Source organism: Homo sapiens, chromosome 20, assembly GCF_000001405.40.
Source record: "Homo sapiens chromosome 20, GRCh38.p14 Primary Assembly".
NCBI classification, from domain to species: domain Eukaryota; kingdom Metazoa; phylum Chordata; class Mammalia; order Primates; family Hominidae; genus Homo; species Homo sapiens.
Genome location: NC_000020.11, coordinates 9052848 through 9077448, shown reverse-complemented (window position 1 = coordinate 9077448; position 24601 = coordinate 9052848). Strand labels below are relative to the sequence as shown.

The 24601-nt window shown below is 41.7% G+C and overlaps 1 protein-coding gene across 10 annotated transcripts in view, besides 1 other annotated feature; it reads right to left on the bottom strand.

Annotated features, from left to right (window-relative positions):
- Positions 1-8771, bottom strand: part of PLCB4 (phospholipase C beta 4) — a 412131-nt gene extending 403360 nt beyond the window's left edge. For 7 of the 10 annotated variants that reach the window (NM_001377142.1, NM_000933.4, NM_182797.3 and 4 more), the window contains exon 1: positions 8243-8362. The gene's annotated coding sequence lies outside the window, so the exon portion shown is untranslated. Of the gene's footprint in view, positions 1-8242; positions 8363-8545 lie in introns of those variants that run through there. The other 3 variants (XM_024451898.2, NM_001377134.2, XM_005260724.3) reach the window with 1 other exon arrangement.
- Positions 1760-2260: an enhancer, noted in NCBI's record as "H3K4me1 hESC enhancer chr20:9055836-9056336 (GRCh37/hg19 assembly coordinates)". NCBI's record gives its function as "activates a minimal SCP1, AML or CMV promoter by ChIP-STARR-seq in primed H9 embryonic stem cells {active_cell/tissue: H9 hESC(primed)}" and the evidence as "EXISTENCE:reporter gene assay evidence [ECO:0000049][PMID:30033119]".

The following is a 24601-nucleotide window of genomic DNA, read 5'->3' as shown; positions in this document are numbered from 1 at the left end:
TGCTGCAATTAGAGGCTATGTTCAGCTGCATAATCAGAGGTTCCACAAATTTCATGGAGACCTTTTTTAAAGGCAATTCATCAGTGCTCTGTCAAAATTTGAAGTGTGCATAGGCTTTTGACCAAATAGTTCCATTTCTAGAAATTTAGCTACAAAAAAAATTCTCACACATGTGCACAAAGACCTACGAACAAAGATCTTGAATCTTTCAGTTTGCAATAGTGTCCACAGAAGAATGGTTAAATAAAGTACAGTACATCCGTACTATCAAATTTTATGCAATGTTAGAAAGAACAAGATAACTAACATATTGACATGGAAAGCTCTCCATGATATACAGTTAAGTGGACAAAAGCAAGTCAGTCACAGACAAAAATGTATACAATATGATCCAGTATATGTAATAAGAAAATGACATGTATATATACTTATACATGTAAATGTACAGAAAAAAGGAGGGAAAGAGGCATTCTAAACTATTGCCAATGACTGTATCTGGGAATGGGTGTAGGTGGAAAAGGGTACTTTGCATTTTGCTTCCATATTTCTGCATTATCACTTCAATTGGAACATATTAATGTATTACTTACATCATTTTAAAAAACCAATGAAAAAAAATTAAAAGAAATCCCAGAGAGGGCTTTGGTGATTTGTCCAATAATAGCATCTTGGCAGATATGAGAGAAACACATCCCGAAGGAACTGCATTTTCATTTGATCCAGTGTGGTCTCTCATTTAAAAGCAACAAGGAAAATGAGGGCTGTTAAGCGGACTGCATCTTGAAACACTGGTCTGCAGGAACAGATCTGTATTCTATATTTCAGGACAAATACAGCTACTACCAAATAGCAGGGGGGACATCTTGTGACTGGTTAGAGTTCAAATCAGTGAGGCAGGCAAGAGAACCTCTGTGTCTCCATAAATGAAGTCACCTATTTCTGTACACTTGGGTGTTATTTTTTATTTATTTATTTATTTTTTGAGACAGAGTCTCACTCTGTCACCCAGGCTGAAGTGCAGTTATGTGATCTCGGCTCACTGCAGCCTCTGCCTCCGAGGTTCGAGCAATTCTCCTGCCTTAGCCTCCCGAGTAGCTGGAATTACAGGCGCCTGCCACCACACCCGGCTAATTTTTGTATTTTTAGTAGAGATGGGGTTTTGCCATGTTGGCCAGGCTAGTCTCAAACTCCTGACTTCAAGTGACCCACCTACCTCGGCCTCCCAAAGTGCTGAAATTACAGGCGTGAGCCATCGCGCCCGGCCAGGTGTTCTTATTTTAAAGGAGCACCATGAAACAGGAGGAAAAAACATGCCCTTCCCCCCTCAACTTTGTGTATTTGCCAACAGCTTGGAAAAATAGGGTATAGGGAGAGAATAAACAAGCAGAAATTCAGAATCTGAAATCTATGTACACTGGAAATAAATGACCATAACAACCTTTATAAGAAATTTTACAGCCAAAAAAATTAAAGGGCAAAACAAAAACTATTGACATGTTCTAGTACACGGTGTTTCCAAGCACTTACAGCTAACAAAAGGCTCAACATGGGAGCTCCTGGGTCAAACCACAAACATGCTTTGTTTGGCCACACCATGGGCTGACAGGTTTGTTTTCCATTTTAATTATTTCCAAACATTTTAAAATGAGAAGACTCCAAATAAATCTGGATTTCATGCTTCTCTTGAAAATGTGGAGGCACTGGTAATCCTGGGCCCTAGGCCCACCTGGCAGAAACCTGTCAGACCCGAGTGGTAGCTGCTCCATGGGAAGGGGCACAATTGGGCCCCTGGATGGGCGCAAGCCTCACCACTCCCTAAGGCCTCTGACACCTGGTCAGCCACACTTGGGCCTTTCACTTACTTGGCCCTTAGAGGAATCAGAGTACACCACACCCTCATTAAAACCATGAGGAACTTCACCAGGTAAAAACCGGCCTTCCAGAAAACTAAAACTATTTGTTTAGGCTACCACGAATTAGCATTTAGTACTCTCCCTATCTCGGATTTCTGGCATGCAACTGCAGAAACAGAAGTACCTAGGATTAGATAAGAATGCATTGTTTTATCCTCAATTTCTTATTCCAATTCCATATTCACAGCAGGATTGCCAGAAGCTTTTGTCATATCTCAGCCTAGTCACTTAAAATAATTATCACAAAACTTGTTATGGTAACAAGTCTTTCTGCAGCATGTACCAGCTTAATGACAGGTAATACACAGTACGGTGGTTAGAAGTTGGAGTTCTGATGTCAGCCTACCTGAGTTTCAGTCTCAATTCTAACTTTAACATCCTGGGATGATTAATTTAACATCTCCTAACCTCAGTTTCCCCAAGTATAAACTGGAGATGCTATTAGGACACACTCAAAAAGGCTGTCAGAAGTATTAAATAAAGTGGCACATTTTAACTGCTCAACAAATGTCTGTTGTTTTATTTTGTTGTTGTTATTATAATACTATGTAAAGCAGAGAAGTTGAGTACTCTCCGAGAAACTCCATGGAAAAACAAGAGCTATGGTGACTGCCCCTGAACACCAGAGACCCCTAATTCTTCTAGTGGAGGCCTTTCTCCCTCCAGGTCTAAATGGCTTAATATGTTTTGTTTTGTTTTGTTTTGTTTTGTTTTGTTTTGTTTTGTTTAAAAAAAAAAAAAAAAGCCTAGCTGGGAGACAGATACCCTGGGGACAGCATCTGGCTCACTGAATTATATTCTGAAACACCAAAGTCACAGAATTTTGAAGCTATTAGGACTGAGTTAATATTAGGTCCCTCTGTCCAAATGCAGTCACTGGGCTTGGCAAGTCCAAAGGAAGATCTGGTACTTCATGGTGGTCCTGTGGGGTGACTGAAACTTTCTGTACTTGCAGAGTGGCAAAGTAAGTGTCCCTTGTAAATTTTATAGGAATTTTCTCAGGCTGCTTTGTATGGATAAGGTCAATGCCATCTACCCCTATGAAAGAGAACAAGATGAGAGCCATAATACTAGTAGTACCATTAGGAGAAGGGGCAGTAGCACTTGTTAAACATGCTTTTAATTGTTCAGGAGCATAAGAAAGGCAATGTATCTTAAAGTAATGATTTTCCTGGCCCAAGGGTGTTTCCGTAGCTACAGGTGGAATTTCCCAAACCTGGGCACACCCAAAGATCCTGGGATCCTTTGAGCACCTGTAGTAGCAGCAGTAACAGTACCCTGTATCATTCACAGTGCAGCACCAAGCACTTTTGCCCCATAGGGTTATTCTCCTCATTTTACAGATAGGGCAACTGAGGCTCAGAGTGAATGCCCAGGGTCACACAGCTAAAAGAGGGCATCTGTCAGCATTCAAGCTAAAACAGGGCATTTGTCAGGAATTCAGTGCCTGATTCCAACGCCTGAAGATCTCAGCAACCACTGCTCAATGCAAACCCACAGTGAAAACACCCACCCAGCCAGCTGCCTCTGGGAGGAAGCATTTCTCGAGCACATGGTCTTCGCCTTGTGTGGGTCATGAATGCCCTTCGCAATATGGTAAATCTTAAAGACCCTTTTCAGCAGGATATTTTCATTTTATTATTATTTTTTAATAGACTGTCACTCTGTCACCCAGGCTAGAGTGCACTGATGCGATCTCAGCTTACTATAACCTTGAACTCTTGGGCTTGAGCGATCCTCCTGCCTCAGCCTTCCAAGTAGCTAGGATTACAGGCATGTGCACCACACTCAGCTAATTTTTTTATTGGTATTTTTTGCATAAATTGATCTTACTGTGTTACCTAGGCTGGTCTCAAACTCCTGGCCTCAAGTAATCCTCCTACCTCAGCCTTCCAAAGTGCTGGCATTAGAGGTGTGAGCCAGCATGCCTGGCCCAGCATAATATGTTTAAATATATAAAATTAAATACCTAAAAGTACAATGGAAATCAATCTCATTGAAATATAATTATCAAAATAACTCTTTAAAGGGATATGTGAAGTAATACATGTGTTTCTCTTCAACCCACTAAATGCCAAGATCTAGTAGTAGCCCTAACACCTGCCCCAATTGTCACTTGGAAGTAAGTGAATATAAAGATGTAATTCATTTGCCAGCCACATTCGTGGACCCACCAAACTGCATCCTTGGCCCTAAAATGAAGAACTCCTGTTCTAGAGAAGAAAGGGAGATGTCAAATGTAAAATCAGGGGTCTGTGGTCTGTGGTCTCTGATCTCTGGATGAGCTGCTTACAATTAATTACTTCAAGTTGCTTTTTTCTTCCTGTTTCTAAGGAAATGGCTACTTCAATTCACTCATGTCTGGGAGCCAAAGACATGCTTTAATTGTTCGGGAGGACAAGAAGGGCAATGTATCTTAAAGCCATGATTTGCCTGGCCCAAGGGTATTTCCGTAGCTAGAGGTGGAATTTCCCAGCCCTAGGCATACCAAAAGATCCTTTGAGCTTTGAAGGAGAATCCCAGGAAAGGGGAGAAGATAACACTATCTTATGGTCACATGGTGTGTGACATTCTCATTGAAGGTTTTATAAGTAGTGAGTAAGAGAGGTGTTCAGAGAAAAACCTTGGATTTATGTCCATTTCAACTATTTTTATTTGATAAAGGAAAGGAAAAGTAGACGAAGTGCATGCAGGGAAAATAAACACTCTGCTGGTCATTCATTCCCTGGAACATAAGGATCTCCTAGCTGAGATTTGAAAGGTACAGCATTATTACTTTCATCTCCTCTAGAAACTTGGGTTACGCCTTCAGCATAAAAAAGCATCCAAAGTCGTGAGCTTCCACCCAGACTCTTTCTACCCTTCCACCCAGAAAATGGGGTTTGGGAGTGGTTGCTGCAAAGGAGTGAAGTGGGCCTTGCAAATAAAAGTTATTCCAGGGTGATATTTTCAAAGCAAGCTTAATTCCAACCAAGACAATGTAAACATCACACTCATCCACTCAGTAATGCATAATCACCCAGGTCTGCCTCCACTGGCAAGGAAGTAAACTCATTTTTATACTTGGTTAGCTAAAGAATCACAGCCTAGGAACATGTAAAACCTTTATATCATTCTAAGGCATAACTAGATAAATAATATTACAATTTGAGAAAGTATTTCTACTTTAAAGGGTGAGGCTTTATCAAAAGCAAAACTATTAAACAAACAAATACTAAGGAATAGAAGAAAGAGCTACACAAGTTTATTCATTTTCCCAATATGAGAGGGAAATAGGAAAATGTGGAATGGACAGCACTGAGAATTAAGCAGTGTCCTTGCAAACACAGTTCACATCTGAAAACCAACAGCAAAACCACAGAAAGTCACTGCTGCCTCCCACCAGCGATGAAAAGCTGTATTTATTTCCCAACAGGCAGATAAGTCTCCTTGACAGACACTAATATGGCCTACACATTCATATATTATGAGGTGAAAAGCAACTATTTTAAAAACTTCAATCTGGACATAAAATACCAACTGTGATCATTAAAGCATCTCCATTAGTCCTTGACCTAATTTTGCATATCAAATACAGAAGTTCTTGGTTTTACAGGGACTCAACTGTGGTAGATAGACAGTTTATTAAAAGACCTGGGTCGGCGGTGCTAATCAACATGCTGTTTCACCCTTACTTTATAAGTGATCACAAACAAAAATTTAGTCACAGCCTGCTAAATAATTTTAAGTTTCAAAGAAAATTTATACTTCCTCAAAAATAGTTTACTATTAAGTGTGGAGAGCATGAGAAATCCAAAATCTTTCTTACATTACCTAAGTGCTCTAATCCGAAAAGATAAAATTTACTCTCAAGATTTCAAAATAAAAAATCAAACTCAGCTAATTACTAATTTTTTTTAATAATCTGCAAAATTTTTTCATTAATTCTGTTATTTGAGTTTTCCAGCTACATCTGAAAAACTGGGGATGAAAATTCAGACACTAAACTCAGAAGCTAATTTCACTTATATTGTTACATCCTTTCACAAATTAGCATGCTAATGTGATCACAAGGAAAACAGCACAGCAGCCCTGAAGCTCACTTTTACCTCAATTTTACTTAGAGGGTGAGGTAAAGATGAATACCAGGCAAACATTTCAATTCTTAATAAATCAAACCCCAAAATGAAGTTAGTGGTATCTTAGGAAAATACCATGTTTACTGAAATTGCCAAATATAACTGTCCCATGTTGCCAAAGTCAGCAGTATACATTAATCTAAAGACAGTTGTGTGTAATCTTGGGAAAGGCAAACTAGCTGTGCTACGGGCACTGAATGGACTCTGCTGTGGTTGAAATATTTCAGAGGTGATACAAATTTTTAAAATCTTTTCCTGCAAAAGGTTTTTGGTAACCTGTAACACTTTTTCAACTACCATATTTCTTTATCTCATAAGGCAAAAACACACCGCCTCACGATTCCAGGACATGTAAGCAGTTTAACATCACTCACATTTTCAGGCATATAAATATAAAACTTCCAATAGAGTATTTTAGAACAAAGCTTTCTGCGTGGGTATGCATTTGCAAAATAAAGGTAGAGTTATTCCGACAGATTTAAATGTGCACCCAGTGATCAAATGGAGTTAGAAATTCTGTTTTGACAGTTACTTGTAGAACAGCATTTTCAACAGCGATTAATTCAGAGCTGGGTAGTAATACCATCAAAACTAAGTTCCAACTGTTGAGTAATAATATAGTTGGAAGGAAGTGTAGTCCATAAGCTAATACATGGTACCTTTAGATATGTTATAATACGTCACATTCAAAAGGTTACTCGTCTGGCAGCAAGTCTTACGTTCATAAAAGTGCCAATAAAAATGTTTTGCCATTTCAAAAAGTGATTTTTTATGAAAACAGGTGCTCTCCAAAGATGGCAATCATTTATTAAACTACTACAGTTCAAAAGGAAGATGATATAATAGATCAATACACCAGCTAAGGATCATGCAAGACTGTCCTATGAAAAACAGCATTCTGGATTACATAACACAGATAGTGAGGGATTACACCACATGCCCCTGCTGAGCTAGACTTTTGATCTTCTGTATGATTCTATAACTGAGGCCACTCAAATTTGAAGAGTATAAAATATGAGGGTCTCAGTTCAACCACACATTTCTGAAAACAGCCGTCTTGAAAACAATAAAAGAATAAAGTTAAAATTTTACCTTCCCCCGCAACACACACACAATTTTTCTATTCTGAAAAACACAGTTGTTCAGATACTTTCTTAACCTCCTTGGAGCCTCCCCAGGTAAAGTCACCAGTTGCTTTTCCTGGTCATGTTTACATTATAAATCTGATTTCTCTTTAAGGGGAAATTCAATATCATTTTAAAATGATACATAGCTGCCTATGTTTGAATAACGTTATTTCCAGACAAAAAGAATTATTAAACAGCTATCTCCACATACCTATAACTTAAATATATAGACCACTAAGTATTACGTATATGGAAAAAAAAACACCTTTCCTGAATATTCTGGCCAAAATTAAATTTCAAATACATGTTTTAGAACAATAGCTAGAATCACTACAGAAGTTAAGAGGAAAAAAAGTTGGAAGAGTAGGGTCATCTTTCAGATATATCCATATTTATGGAAACTATAGTGGGCAGTTGTATTTCTCTCTAGGAAAATGCTAGTTTTATGATTCTAGATAAAGTTGCACTTAAACACACTTGGAAATTAGAGAATTCCATATTTCCATACTTCGATTCAGTACCATATACGAAGTCTACACTCAGAAGTATTGTACTATACAGAGTCTAATTGGTTAAAGCAAAAGCAACTTTAAAATTCTGAAAATAAGGATTTCCTTCACTAACAGGCTTTTAGGAGGCCCGAACCCTGCCCCCAATGAGTGCTAAGCCTGTCAGTGTTGTTTTAAGTGGAAACGGTCAATCATTTCTATGATTTCCCCAGAAGAGGCAAGAAGATCCACACGCATACACATTTACATGCGTTGCACGGTGCCAACTATTTCCAACCAAAATAATCATATACACGTCGAGCCGAGCTATTTCTAGCCCAGAAGAGGGTGAACGTCTGGAGAGAGTCTGAGGAAACCCAGCAGGCGATGACTGCAGGGGAAGGGGGATGGCGTCTGGGTCCCCTGCCTCCCGCGCGCACAGGGCGCCTGGCACCCGGCACCTGCACGGGGTCCCCGCTGGGCATCCGGGTGCGCGCGCGCGCGCGTCCGGGACGCACCCGCGGAAAGCAAACAAGCCCTGAGGGCCAAGGCGGGCGGGAGCATCCTCGGGCGGGACCCGAAATGCCTTTTCCTACCTGTCACTTTGCCTGGAGCTGCTGCCGGGGATGCGGCGACGGCCGCTGCCTGGAGACCCAGTGTGTACGCGCGTGTGTGTGCGCGCCCGTGTGTGCGTGTGCGTGTGTGTGTCTGTGTGTGAGAGATCTTGTTGGCGGTGCAGCTCACTTACTGCTCCCGGCGCGGCGCCACCACCCCCTCCTCGCCATAAAGAGCCGCCGCCAAGCCCCCTCCCGGCGCACCCCAGTCCCGCCCTCCCGCCTGCCTCCGCACCCCCTCCCTGGCCTCCCCGCCTCCCCGTCTCCGCGCCGCGCGGTCCTTACCTCAGTTGAGGGCGGGGGTCTCCGCCGTGGCTCCCCAGCGAGCCCACGGGGCAGCGCCGACCCGCCCGCCCACCGCCGGGCCCTGCGCGTCCCCCGCTCCGGGCCCCGCCGCCCCTCAGCGGCCAGCCGCTTCCTCCTCCCCTGCCCCCGAGCCTCCCTCCTCGTTCTCGCCTCCCGGCTCCAGAGCCCGAGCTGTCGCCTCGCAGCCCCAACCTGCCCAGGCTACGGAGCATGCCCAGTGCGGCGCGCCGGGCTGGGCTGGGGGTGGGCAGGGGCCGGGCCGGCCGCCCAGTTGCCGCGAGCCCGCAGGGCGAGGAGTGGGCGCCGACTGGGTCGGGGGCGCAGCCTCGCGAGCCGGGGGCCGAGCAGCCGAGGCAGGTGGTGGGCAGCGCCAAGAGGAGGTGGGTGGGGCATCCGGGGAAGCCGGCCCGCGGCGCGCTCCTCTGGGGTCTCCCTGGCGGCTCCCCGCGGCATGTGCCCCATGCCCAAGGGTCGGGGGCGCACGGGATGGCGCTGGGCGCAGAACCCAGGGAGCGGGGGCAGAAAAGCGGCACCCTCCTCGGATGGGAGACCCGCAGCCCGCCGTGGGCCGTGTGGAGGGGCTCAGGACTGGCCAGAACGGGGCCCCCAAAGCCGTTGGCTGGGTGGGGGACGTGCTTATTTGTTTATATTCGGTTTCATAAACCCATACAGCGCCTACAATGCGTCCTGCAGTGTTCTAAACGCTTTTTATTCATTTAATCCCTAAAACAATCTTCCAAAGAGTACTACTGCCTCTTTTTATTTCGCGGGTCTTACACAGAGCCACAGAGATTAAGTGGTTCCAAAAAGTCTTCCCACAAGTGCAACCTCAGACATGCAAATCCCCCAGACTTTGGTCCCTGGGATGCTGGGGTGCTGCTCCAGCCAGTTCCTGGCTTTTCCCGGCCCTACAACGGCCCCCAGGTGCCTCCGAGTCACACTCACACCCAGGCCCTAATGGTGTTCGGTCTGGCATCACCCTTGTGTGGACCCTCACAACGTGCTGCTCCCGAACTCCGGAGGGCTCCCTCCTCCCCACTCCGCCTCCTCCTTCTCCCGGCCGGCGGCCACCAAAACCCGGAGACGTGGCACCTGCGCATTGGGGACTGGGGCCATGCTCGCAGCTGCACTAGGCATGCTCAGCCGCCTGAGCCGGTCCGGCTGGCCAGGAGGAAAGAAAGGGCCAGACGGGGCGTGAAGTGTAAGAAATGGAGGGGGAATGTGTGTGCAAACAATAGTCCAGGCTCTGATGGGCAGGGGCAGTTGTAGATGCAAAAGACTCATTCCCCTGGCACATCCTGGCCATTTCCAGGCAGGGCTAAGAGATGGGGGTAATAATCATCAAAAGTTTAACCAACTGGGCATCCTTAAGCAAGAGGGGGCTGAGGCCCCACTGACCACTCCCCAGCTCAACTACTAAGCTGTAATTTTAGCTGAGCCTGGAAAAAAAGCTCCTCAGCAGCTGAAGCTGTCTGCCTGTGAAGAAGCCAAGAAAAATATCCCAGACCAAGTTTCCCCACAAGATTGGAAAGGAAAGATAGATCCCAGGGAAAGGCTGGTGGCTCTTCACTGTTAGGGATATTAAAGATGTGGTGATTTTGGCTGGGCGCGGTGGCTCACGCCTGTAATCCCAGCACTTTGGGAGGCCAAGGCGGGTGGATCATCTGAGGTCAGGCGTTCGAGACCAGCTTGGCCAACATGGTGAAACCTCATCTCTACTAAAAATACAAAAAAAAAAAAAAATTAGCCGGTCGTGGTGGTGGGCACTTGTAATCCCAGCTATTCAGGAGGCTGAGGCAGGAGAATCTCTCGAACACGGGAGGCGGAGGTTGCAGTGAGCTGAGATAGCCCCACTGCACTCCGCCCTGGGCGACAAAAGCAAAACTCCATCTCAAAGAAAAAAAAAGGGATCTGGTGATTTTGAGTGATTCCAGCATGATAAGGCAGTGTGTAATGGGCATACAAGTTGCCTGAGGATCTTGTTAAACTCCAGATTTTGATTCAGCAGATCTGGGGTGGGATCAGAGATTCTGCATTTCTAACAAGTTCCCACACCATGCTGATGTTGCTGTCTTTAGATAGATTTTTAGTTGCAAGAGGTTAGGGCAGTATTTTAGGCCTGTTCTTTATTTTATATGTATAAGAAAACCAAGGTTCAAAAAGGTTAAGCAATTTGCCCCCAGGTCACACGGCCAAGAAGTAGCATCACTAGGCTCAAACCCAGTTCTCCAGGGCTTCCTGTGTATGTTCCTCTATTCCCCAGGTATCACTCACAGACAGATGAGCTGAAGCTGTGTGTCTTGACAGTTTTTAACAATAGAACATAGTATTAGTAGATAATGCACCCAAACACACTATATCAGTTAGCCTTTAGTGTGTAACAAACCACACCAACACATAGTAGCCTAAAGCAACAATTATTCATTAGCTCACAATTCTGTGAATCAGTAACTGGAGCTAAAATCAGCTGAGCAGTGTTGTTCTCCTGGGCCTACTCATGCAGCTGCAGACATGCGGAGCTTGGAGCCTCATCCGGATGGCAAGGATGACAGGGTATTCCCATATGGCTTCTTCGTATGGTGAGTTCCTAGTTCCCAGCAGCAAAAGAAGGAAAGCCCCAATTCAAAATAGCATTTTATACCTCTGCTTGCTAATGTTCTACTGGCCAAAGCAAGCCACATGGCCATGCCCAGATTCAAAACATGGAGAAATCAACTTCAATTTTAATAAAAGGAGACACAAAATAGAGTAGTATTTTGTTTTTAAAATCTACCACACACATCAGAGTCCATAAAACTAGCCCTCCTGCCTTAGAGTTCAAAGTTGTATAGATTAAGCCTATCTTTCATTTTATATATTGGTAAACCAAGTCACAGTAATCTTTGTTGTTACTGTTAAGTCTTCAATCTAATAATATGTTTATTAAGGAATCTCAACTCAGGTATAAACATTAAATAATTTTTTTCTCTAAATCCTAAATTCAATCCAAATTCTCAATTCCCTTACCCTGCCTTTGATGACATGTTAGATGGTCATTCATTCCACATTTTTTTTTTTTGAGACAGGGTCTCGCTTTGTTGCCCAGGATGGAGTGCAGTGGCATCATCACGGCAACCTCAAACCCAGGGGCTCAAGTGATCCTCCCACCTCAGCACTCCCAGTAGCTTGGACTACAAGTGTGCGCTACCACACTTTGCTAAATTTTTTTATTTTATTTTTTTGTAGAGACAGAGTCTCACTATGTTGCCCAGGCTGGTTGTGAACTCCTGGGTTCACATGATCCTCTTGCCTCAGCCTCCCAAAGTACTCAGATTACAGGTTTGAGCCAAAGGATTGAGCTTGGATTACAGGTTTGTGCCTGGCCCATTGAACAAATTTTTTGAAACCTTCTATGTGCCAGGCACTACTCTTTGGCCAGGATACTAAAATAAGCAAGAGACAAAAATAATTGCCCCTAAGAAACTTAGATACTATCACAGGAGATAGACAATAGCATATTAAAAATATAGAACATTGGGCCAAGTGTGGTGGTTCTAGCCTATGATCCCAGCACTTTGGGAGGCCAAGGTGGGCAAATCACTTGAGGTCAGGAGTTCGAGACCAGCCTGGCCAACATGGCAAAACCCCAACTCTACCAAAAAAATACAAATATTAGCTGGGTATGGTGGCATGTGCCCATAGTCCAGCTACTCAGGAGGCTCAGGTGGGAGAATCACTTGAATCTGGGAGGTGGAGGCTGCAGTGAGCCAAGGTCATGGCCACTGCACTCCAGCTTGGGCAACAGAGTGAGACCCTGTCTCAAAAAAAAAAAAAAAATATATATATATATATATATATATATATATAAACATTGAGTAGTGCTAAGTAGTGTTTTATAACCTATATAAGTAAATATATATATAATCTCTCTGTCTCTCTCTTTCTCTCTCTCTCTCTCTATATATATATATGTAAAACATTGAGTAGTGCTAAGAACCATGGTGAAAAGAAGGCTTCCTGAGATGAGGTAGAGAGGCAGCTATTTTAGATAGGGATCAGAGATGGCCACTCTAAGGCCATTTGAGTGGAAGCTGAATGAGAGATGTTAATATCTAGAGAACAGTGTTTCCAGCAGCGAGACCAGCCAAGGCTCTCGGATGAGAATATGCTTGGCATGTCCAAGGGATGAAAGGAGGCCAGAGTGGCAGAGCAAGACATGGAGTGAGCAGAAGTGGGGTCACAGAGGCAGCAGGGGGCCAGACCATGTAAGGTCACAGAAACAACCTTGGACTTTAGTCTGGGTGTGTCATGAACCCATTGGAAGATGTTAAACAGGGTCATGACATGATCTGATTGATGGTTTAGGAAGATGTGCATTAAGAATGCCTATAGGAGGGAGGGTAGAAAAAGGAGCCTATTCTAAGGATACAGCAGTGGGTCCACTAGGGCAGAGTTTATCACTTTTCAGTATTAAAACTCAGACCAAGTGTATTAGTCTGTTTCATGCTGCTGATAAAGACATACCCAAGACTGGGTAATTTATAAAGGAAAGAGGTTTAATTGAGTCACAGTTCCACATGGCTGCAGAGGCTTCACAATCATGGTAGAAGGCAAGGAAGAGCAAAGTCACATCTTGCATGGATGGTGGCAGTCAAGAGCTTGTGCAGGGGAACTCCCCTTTATAAAACCATCAGATTTCGTGAGACTTATTCACTGTCAGGCGAACAGTACAGGAAAGACCCATCCCCGTGATTCAATTACCTCCCACCGGGTCCCTATCACAACATGTGGGAATTGTGGGAACTATAATTCAAGATGAGATTTGGGTGGGGACACAGCCAAACCATATCATCAGGTTAAACCTTCACCTTCAAACTCAACTTAAATTCAGTCTTCTGTCTTCTCCCTGTCCCACTGCAAGCCCTATTAGATGCCTTAATTCTTGAAGTGGAAGGTTACTGGCACAGGATCTGGCATTTAAACATTTTCCTACCCACTGCCCTTCCCCAGCCACCCTCCCCAACCCTGCCATTTGCCCTTCAAGGCCTAGTTCCGCCAGAATGTTGGGCAGCAAGAAGAAAAGGCCAGTGTCTCTACCTTTGACCTATAGCCATTATGGCCTTCTCTTGGTTCACTGTGGCTGCTTCTCTGGCTAGGAAATCAGGGACACAATCTGTCAGGAGTGCAATGCAAGCTCTCTGCCATGGAGATAATAAGGGAGGCCCTTGGAAGGTCCTTCTGGAATTCCAACCCCAGGTTCTCCTTTTTTCCCAGGCTCCACAGTTCTCTTCATGGTGGTCCAGCCTAGAGCATCTCAATGCTGGGTCTCACATGCTAGGTAGGCCACCCTGTTGGGTGAGGCATCTGCAAGAAAGTTAAGCTGAAGAGCCTTCTAGAGTATCTACTGGAAGCCCAGAGAAAATAGAGAAAATTGCCCATCCCAGCCAGGCTAATGGGTTGGCCAACAGGAAGGCAGGTAAGATGGAGCTGTTTCTGCAGCAAGGAGGATGCCTAGACCAATTTTGAAGACTTTCTCTAGAATGTAGATCCCTGAACACCTCATCGTGCTCAGCTGCAGACTCTAGTTATCAATTACCTGGCAACATTGTGTTATGAAAATTAACATTCACCACAAGAAAAGCCAAAGCAAACTGCAAACGCCACCAGTTCTTTACTTTGATTTGTATAAAGTCTTGCTTATTGTCATTGTTACTTAATATGAAAGGATAATAGTGACAATAAGGACCTTTAGCTGAATAGTCTCAACCGTATTAGCAAAAGATCATGTTGTATCTCTTTTAGACAAAGGGCAGTACATCTCTTGTTCCCATTTAAAGTGGCACATTAATTACAGTTTTCACCTAGCTTTTTGCATGCTGTGCTTTGGAAGACAGAGATCACCACTGGCGCATTTGCCCAGTTTACCTTAATTAGAGACATATATCTTTGAAAAGTGGGCAGCACACAGACAGGCCTGATACGAGCTGTCTGGACCTCAGGGTATCCTTTCCCTAACTTTGTGTCTTGTTCCCCTGTGCACTGAACAACTAAAACAACTTTGGTTTTCTTTGAATACCAAAGAAAATGATAATGAAGAAAATTGCCTAAGGATTGAGTTTATGTGCAATGTAATGTCTGGTGAAAAAAAAAAAACTCCCACTGAACTTTCGATTAAATTAATCATTGATTGGAGTGTAAAGGGAAAATAGAAAAGTAAAATAAAGATTAATTCCATTCCAAACTACTTGCTTAAGAATAGAATTTTGTATATATCAGCTAGGCTTAGGATATGATTAGACTGCAGATGTTCAACTAGACTGGATGATGACGATGAAGAAGGTGATAAAGATATTTTATATATATATATATGTACAATAAAGTACAAAAATCTTAAGTGGGGGCTTGAGGAGTTTTACTTATATAAACGTCTATGTGACCACACCTCAATAAAGATATAAATCCTTTATAGCACTCCAGAAATTTCTTCATGCACTTTTTCAGTCAATATCCTTCCCACATACAAACACACACACACACCCCACCACCACCACCACCACACCACAGGTAACCACTATTCAAACACCACAGATTTGCTTTCTCTTGTTTGTGAACTTAGTATAAATGAAATCATGCAAAAGGTACTCTTCCGTGTCTGGTTTCTTTCACTCAGCAGTACGTCTGGGAGATTCATTCATGTTGTAGCTTGTATCTGTAATTTCTTCCTTTTTATTGTTGTGCAGTATATCCTTGTATAATAAAATAGAAGGTATTTATACAATCTGTTTTGATGGTAAAAAAAAATTGTGGGATTTTTTAAAAGTGCACATGAAAGGTCCTTGAAAGCTGGTCTTGGCCGGGCACGGTGGCTCACGCCTATAATCCCAGCACTTTGGGAGGCCGAGGCGGGTGAATTACTTGAGGTCAGGAGTTCGAGACCAGCCTGACCAACATAGTGAAACCTCATCTCTACTAAAAATACCAAAATTATCTGGGCATGGTGGCACGCAACTGTAATCCCAGTTACTCGGGAAGCTGAGGCAGGAGAATCACTTGAACCAGGGAGGCAGAGGTTGCAGTGGCCACTGCACTCCAGCTTTGGCAACAGAGCAAGACTCTGTCAGAAAAAAAAACAGAGAGAGAGAGAGAGAAAGAAAAAGAAGGAAGGAAGGAAGGAAGGAAGGAAAGAGAAAGAAGGAAAGAAAGAAAGAAGGAAAGAAAGAAAGAGGAAGGAAGGAAGAAAGGAAGGAAGGAAGGAAAAGAAAGAAGAGAAAAGAAAAGGAAAGGAAAAGAAAACTGGTCCTGGTACTACTATACTACTTCTTTCCATATTCTCTATTCCTAGCACAATGTGGTATACTAAGTGCTCAATACTGGGTTGTTTCGTGAGAATAAAGAATATTCTGTGTCATGGTAAAGTAAATTCCTAAATATTTTATTCAAAAGAACAGAAATAAAATTATGACATATTTCTGGATAAAAAAGGGTTTACTCCAAATAATTCAAATGACAATTAAAGTATTTTTCTGATGCCAAAACATCAGTAATCATTCCCTTGAAATATGGGGAATATGTGCTGTTAAATTTAAATCAGAAAAGCCTCAAAACTGATATCAGCATTTAACCTACAGAATATGATTTACAAATGAGTGCACTGTTCCCACTTACCTGTTGTTTATGACAGGATTATGTAAAATGAAATCAGAGCATATGGAAAATATACCCAGTACTTAATGAGGCTGCTCAACTGCTGGCCTAATTGCATGGTTTTATGTTTCTCTCCATTCTTTAAATGTGAACAAATCAGTTTTGTAAATACAATGATTCGTTCCTACCATTTCTGTTATGCTGCAACAAGATTAGAAAAATACATTAACTTACAATATAAATATCAATTGCACACTCAACAAGACTCAATGTTCTTTTCTTTCCTTCACTGACTCCATGTGGTTGGAATCACAACAAAAGTACAATTCAGTTAAAATGATTGTCCCTCTATGCCTCAGGAAGCCCAAAATTTTCACCCACACACAAAAATAAATTTTTTACATTATTTTTTAGTCAATTTTGCCATTGTGATTAATACTGACCAAAATAATAATATTTTTTTGCAGTTTTCCACCTAGAAGTGACTTAGAGGATCAAGTGATCCAATCATTTCAACTAATTGATGAACTTTTTGTTTTTTGAGACAGAGTCTCGCTGTGTCACCCAGGCTGGAGTGCAGTGGCGGGATCACGGCTCACTGTAAGCTCCGCCTCCCGGGTTCACGCCATTCTCTTGCTTCAGCCTCCCTAGCAGTTGGGACTGTAGGCACCCGCCACCACGCCTGGCTAATTTTTTGTATTTTTTAGTAAAGACGGGGTTTCACCTTGTTAGCCAGGATGGTCTCGATCTCCTGACCTCATAATCCGCCCACCTCGGCCTCCCAAAGTGCTGGTTGGTGAACATTTTAAGTCCGAGAGGCTGTGTGACTTGGTCAGTTTGCATACCGGCTGATGGGACTCCAGCTTCCTTTTCAGAAATTGGACTCACATCAGTTCAACAAAATCCAGAAGAAAGAAGACAAGATTAATTGAATTTTTACAGAATTTTATGAAGCTTATATTTTAGCTCATGATCAAAAGAAAAATTTCCTTGCATTTCATAGGTGTTTCCTCAAAGAGGTTCCTTTTCTAGACTTTATTAAACTGAGCTGGCAGAGTGCAGTGACTCATGCCTGTAATTCCAGCACTTTGGAAGGCTGAGGCGGGTGAATCACTTGAGGTCAGGAGTTCGAGAACAGCCTGGCCAACAAGGTGAAACCTCGTCTGTACTAAAAATGCAAAATCAACCAAGCGTGGTGGTGCATGCCTGTAATTCCAGATACTCAAGAGGCTGAGGCAGGAGAATGGCTTGAACCAGGGAGGCGGAGGTTGCCAGAAAGTCCCATCTAAAATTTAAGCAGGATTACCACATACAGTAGGTCAGGTTGCGCACTGCATGAGGATACTCAGTCAATGGGCCAAGTGTTCGCTGAGATGCTCCTCTTGCAAAGCCTTTTGCTTGGCACTGGGCTGAATTGGCCCCAAAGACGTAGTACACTTTTTTATTTTGCACAAAATTGTGGTATAGGTCTTACTCTTTGGAGTGGATGCACCCACCAGGTTTACCTTATATATATAGTGTTTTATAAAATGCAGCAGATTTGCAGACAAACAACTAACAGCAAAGGATTTGTGTGATGTTTATGCTTTTTCCTTCTCTTTCAAAATAACATTAATGCAACCAGAAATGAATGTGTCCATTTTGGCTGGTTCATAAAGGGCTTTATTCCATCTCAACTTCATGGTAATGGCAGAAGTACCAGAGAGAGGAAGTGCCAATGCCAAGCCCATTTCACACCTCTGCTTGCTTCATGTCTGCTACCATCTTGTTTTGCCCAAAGCAAGTCACTGGGTTGGGCCCGGTGTTTAGGTATAGGGCAAAGTGACCTGCCCATAGTGGTAGGGTGCTACAAAGGGTACGGATTGAGAGAGCGGTGAATACTTGAAGTTATGACTGCCATCTACCACATGCCATTATTAGATTTCACCTTCCTTAAAGAAAAGGACTGTTTCTTATTTAAATTCTAATCTCCAGGGTTCAACATGGTGCTTGGAATATAGTGAGGTGGTAAAAAATATTTGCTGAACTAAAAATAAGTAGCCCTGCAATCTACCAGGTGGCTGGAACCAGAACCAGTGAATCTTTTATTTATTTATTTATTTTTGGTTTTATTTTTCATTGACAAATAATAGTTGTATATATTTATGGGGTACAAGATGATGTTTCCATATTTGGCTTCTTCAGCAGCCTCATATTTTATTTTGAGTCTGTTATTAAGTAGATTCATCTACACCATTTACAAATATCTCTTAAATTATTCTTTCCATTCAAAACTCAGCTTCTCTAACCCCTCCAGTAGGAATTAAGCCTCTTAGACTTCCCCAAAGCACCTGGTACCGTCTTATTTCATAGCACTTACCTCATTATTTAAGAGTTATCTGTTTATCTGTCTCACCTCAAAGGAGTGTGAAACTCTGGAGGGTAAAATCAGGATTCTAACTCATTTTTTCCTTGCCAAAACAACTGCAGTATACATTTTATAATAGGCAGTACATGCACAAAATACAAAATTCAAAAGTCATAAAAAGGGGTATGTTTCAGAATGGCTAGAAGATTTGGAATGTTCTTAATACAAAGAAATGATAAATGTTTAAGGTGATGGATATCCCATTTCCTCTGCTTTAATCATTACACATTGTATGCATGTATCAAAGTATCATATTTATCCCATAAATATGTACAATTATTATGTATCAATAAAAAGGGGGTATGGCCAGGTGCTATGGCTCACACCTGTAATCCAAGCACTTTGGGAGGCCGAGGCGGGTAGATCACTTGAGGTCAGGGGTTCAAGACCAGCCTGGCCTACTTGGTGAAACCCTGTCTCTACTAAAAATACAAAAGCTAGCTGGGCGTGATGGTGGGCATCTGTAATTCCAGCTACTCAGGAGGCTGAGGCAGGAGAATCGCTTGAACTGGGAGGCAGAGTTTGCAGTAAGCCAAGATTGTGCCACTGCACTTCAGCCTGAGCTCCGTCTCAAGAAAACGGGGGTGGTGGGGTTGGGGGGAATACAGAGAAAAAGACTGCCTTTCCCCAAGACTTCAAGTTCTGAGAGGGAAGCATTATATTCCTGTGCCTTATTTAGCCTGCCTGTGAGTCTATACCAGTGTATGTATATAAACTTACATACATACATTCTTTGTTCTTCTTATACACTATTCTCTTTAAAATTTTGTAAATTATATATATGCATGTAGAGCAGCCTCTATGTTTGTAACAGCTTCATATCATTCCATTGTATGGATGTGCCATGATTTATTACATCTGTACAATTCATGACTATTCCTTACTATAAGAAACAGTGAAAGTAATATATTCCCACGCCCTTCTCCTTTTCCTCCTCTTCATCATCCAAAACTGTAGTTGCTTACCACATAACTTGTCTCAGTGTTAATCTTTGAAGCTTTAAATATATCTTTACTTCTAATACTTGCTTTATTTGATTTATAATATCTTTGACATCTGGTTCTAAAGGTAATCAGTATATTTACATTGCTTTTCATCTTTCTCCTCCTTCCTTTCCTGAATGTTACTATGTTACTCCTACATTTTCTGGGTTTGATTGGCATTTGATTTAGTCTTAGTCTTAAAATTAAATCATTTCATTAACAGTGAATGTGCTGTATTTTCTCCAGTCATCTCTTGGTTTGCTGACATTTGGCCTATAATAATTTTTTAAGGGATTATGGAATTCATAATCCTTAATGAATGCATGCCAAGATGTCTGTCTGTTCACTGCATACTTAATTGATTGCTTGACTTTGTTTAAAATTTTTGTTTTACCTTTTCTTTCCCTGAGGACTTTGTAGGCATTGCTTCTAGCATATAATGTTGCTGTGAGGGTGTCTGAGGCTGGTCTGATGCCTTTTCCCTTAAAGATTAATTTTTTTAACCAAGATTTCCAAAGGATTCTTTATCTTAAAAGTAAAATAATTTTACTATAATATTTTTACATCAATGGTAATATTTAACAGTGAAAGACAGAATGCTTTCTCAAGTTTTAAATTCAATGTTGTTATGACTAACATTTTCTCATATTATATTTTCTCATATTTTGAGATGAACTATATGTGCCTTAGATTGCCTTGTTGGTCTTCCATATGTCACTTCTCTCTAATCTTTCTTAACTCTTCATTCTTTTACATTATATTTTGCTCACTTTTCTTAATCCTATCTTCCATGTCTGCTACTGTGTTATTCGGCACAGATTTTTTTTCTTTCTACTTCTCACTGGAGTCTCTATTTTTGTGATTTATTTTTCTCTCCCATTTTTCCCTTGCCTGTGCTAACTAATCTCCTGGTTATATCTTACTTCATCTTCTCTGAAGTTTCCTGGTGAAACAGATTTGCATTTATCTTTCCAGCCCACAAAAAGGCAGCTTCAGGGCTATTCCCAAAGCAAGGTCTCTTTCCTCCACTCTGCTGCATTGAGAGACAGCTCCCTACAAATAATCATATCTGCGTAAGTCTTCATCAGCCCTGACTCTTTGGTAGAAAATTTTGTCTAGGGAAGCTCTCACTACCAGCTGATAGTCTTCCTTTCTGTTGTTTAAAACAATCATGTGTAAATTACATTTCAAAATTTTTACAATATCCCTAAAAATAGGCTGTGTGCTTTGGAAAATTCTACTCTGTTGTCTTAGTCTTAGATCTACTTCAATGGGGTGTCTTGTTTCAGCATCTTCCTATATTCCTAGTTGATCATCATTGAATGTTGCACCCCTAACTTACATATTTGTTAAGGGTCAGGAAGTTGTGTTTTTTTCTCATTTTCTTTTGTTTTAGTGTGCTTTGCAAGAGGGAAAGGAAATATTTCTTTACTAGGAAATTTTAAAATCAGAAAAGCATAGCAATAATTTCCATATTCTAGCTCATTTGTCTTCTAATTTCCAAGGTCTAGTATGATAGGTACTTAATTAAATTGCTAAAAGGAAAACAAAGAAGGAAAGTGTATTAGTTTTCTATTGTTGCTCTAACAAATTACTTACAAACTTAGTGGCTCAAAGCAACACACATTCGTTATCTCAGTTCTGTCGGTTAGAAGATCAAACTGAGTCTCACTGGGTAAAATAGGGGTGCCAGCACAGCTGTGTTCCTTTCCAGACTCTCTAGAGAAGAATCTGCTCCCTTGCATTTTCCAGCCACTAGAACCACCCGTACTCCTTGGCTCATGGCTCCCTTCCTCCGTCTTCAATGCAGCAATGCTGGTGGCGGGTCAAACACTTCCCACATGCCCTCACTCTGACCTTCTTTTCTTGTTCCCTTTCTACTTTTAAGTAAATATATGATTATATCCAATCCACCTACATAATCCAGGATAATCTCCAATATCTCAAAATCCTTAATTTAATCATGTCTGCAAAGTCTATGTTGCCGTGTAAGGAAACCTATTTATAGGTTCTGAGGATTAGGACACGGACATCTTGGCGGAAGAGAGCATTGTTCTATTACAGAGGAAGGAAGGAATTAAAGGAAAAAGTAAGTTAGTGGTTCTTACGCAGATTTAATTCTATGACACAACAGCAGGGTTCTATTTGGCATTAATAGAGGCTGTAAAGTTTCAAAGTACTCAAATACTTGGCCTATCCTGAGATAAGTAAAAATCTTACAGAGTGGGATTGAAAATCATATTTTGTCTCATATAAATATACCTCGATTAATCCTGTTTTTAGGAAGAAATTATATCATTTAATATATATTATTCGAAAAGTCTGTTAAAGCATTTCCTAGATGTACTGGTTACCAACACAGTAAATAGTACAAGACGGGCCCGCAGACCCTCTGGTCTGTGGCCTGTTAGGAAGCGGGCCGCCCAGCAGAAGTTTAAGACGGTATAGCCAGTGATCATTACCTCCTGAATTCCACCTCCTGTCAGATCAGCTGTGGAATTAGATTCTCACAGGAGTGTGAACCCTGTTGTGAACTGTGCATGCAAGGGATCTAGGTTGCATGCTCCTTATAAGAATCTAACTAATGCCTGATGAGCTGAGATGGAACAGTTTCATCCCAAAGCTATCCCCACCCCGACCACCCTCCATGAAAAATTTCATCCAGGAAACTGGTCCCTGGTGCTAAAAAGGTTGGGGACGGCTGGTATAGGAGATCAAATATAAATATAAAATTAAGTGTAAATATAAAGCAGTATATACAGTTTAAATATAGGTATAAAATATAAATAAAATATATAATAGATACATAGACACAGAGATATTAAAAAAAGATAAATACTAAATCTAGAGAATAAATGAAGAAATGTTTCAAATTTATCATGATTAAAAGAGACACTTCTGAAATTACCTTTTGAAATCTGAATTTATTCTTTCAAATGAGATGAAATATAGGGAAAGCTTTTGATAACAGAAAGACTGTACAAAAAATATTAAGTTAACACAAATGACATTCAAGAATTATGCAAATGAAAACATCTAGGATCTAGTTGTAAAATGTACTTGGAGAGGTGAACTGCTAATTACAGCTTGGATTAAATCTCTGACACCTTGAAGAAATAAATAAATTCATTATTTTTTAAAAAAGAGAATGAAAAATAGTTCTGAGAATTTCCATGTAGACTACTGAAAATCTCAAGGCAAATCATTTATTTGAAACTGCCTACAACATGTGGGGAATGTTTGATTTGGTTTTGTTTTAATCCCATTTGAAACATCAATAGCTTCTGTGATGCCTCTTTAAAGTGGCCCTATTGCTCCCAGCCGCAAAATGCAGATCTAGAACCCTGGAAACGGCATCTGGACAGATAGCATCTATTGCCCACTGTTCCTCACTACTTTTTAATACTGCACTGATGTTTTGCCAAGGAAGCATGACTCTGGTTTCATCTGGCTAATGGCTTTGCGTGCATTTTTCTTTTGCCTATTTCAGTGTCATCTCCATGAAGGCACCACAGTACTTTTTCAGTGAGCCAGGCCCAACAGATTATGGACATTAAGGCTGGGCTGACTCAGCCTTTGGGCTAAATTTAGAAAAATAAAAATAAATAGAAGCAGAAATGAGTTAAGTGGAATTAAATGTAGGTACAGATGAGGAACTGACTAGTGCAATGGAGTTTTCCAGGTTCAGTTTTGGTGAATCTAGGAAAGGATCGTCGAGGTGGCTTCTTTCACTCCAGTTTCTCCATAATTGTGTTAATATCAGGAAGAAGATTGTCAGTCTACTACTGATTCCAATGTTAATCTCATCCAGAAATACCCTCACAGACATACCCAGAATAATGTTTGGCCAAATGTCTGGACACCCCATGGCCCAGTCAAATAGCCACATCAAATTAACAATCACAAGTGCTTAGTACAGTATCTGGCACCTACAAAAATTCAATGAATGCTAGCTCAGGACTCTTTCAGACTACTTCTAGAGCTTATTAATCTCTTTCTTTCTCTGAACTTCTACAGTGGTTTAGTGGTAGTACTATAAAGGAATGACTTTATATAGCACTTACATTATTGTAATGCATTTTATTGATTGTTTATGTACATTATGTTTTCCCAAAGAGACTAGGGAGGTAAAAAGAGAATCACTGGCATCTTCAGCTGCTGAATAGTAAGGAGAACCATGGCTTTTCCCTTCCTCTTCATGAGAGAAAGGAGAGGGGTTCTTCTCCCACACCACACCAAAGAGAGATGCTCTGAATAAACTATTTCTAAAGATTTTGTTTTGCCCCTTAGAAAGGAAGATGGGCATCTCATGGGGCATGTAGTTGGGCAGCATCTGGTCTACAAAACCTATTGGCCCACTTTGTGCTAGCTATTACAGCTAACTGGAGCTTGAATGAGGGAGCAGGGGAAGGAAGTTCTTGGGAGAGCTTGAGATGTAGCTGCAGAGTTACTGAAAGTAACTCTGTCTTATGTCTCAGGACATAAAGTATAATGCCTGCTTCTCACGTGGAGATCATTATCAATGACAGGAACTTGTGGTGGGTTGGGGAGAGGAGCCAGGCAGGAAGGGACTGTGGTGTTGCATGCTGGTAAGAAGATGTGGGCAATCTTCACCGTATCTCAGTGCTCTGAGACTCTTAGAGGGCATACAAAAGGGCTTCAGCAATTTCCACGCATGAAGAAGCACAAAGGATAGAAAAGGAAGCAAACCCAGTAGCTACTTCAGGCTATATGATGCCCAACCCAGAAATGGGGCTGAGGACAAAGGGAGACTTGGCTGCTGCTCTCCACAAGGTCCTCGGTGGGGCAGAGGCAAAACTATGCTGGACATCACCCCAAGAAACAATGCATCACCATCCTAAGGGAAATCACCTTGAAATAGGCCATCAGCTGCATACCCAGCCAGAGGAAGACTGGGGCATGTTCCTCCACCAACAGACAGTCATTTCTATTTCCATTTCTCCTATTTCCTCACTATTTATATAAAACAAAGGATTACAACCTGGAAGGAGAGGAAAGAAA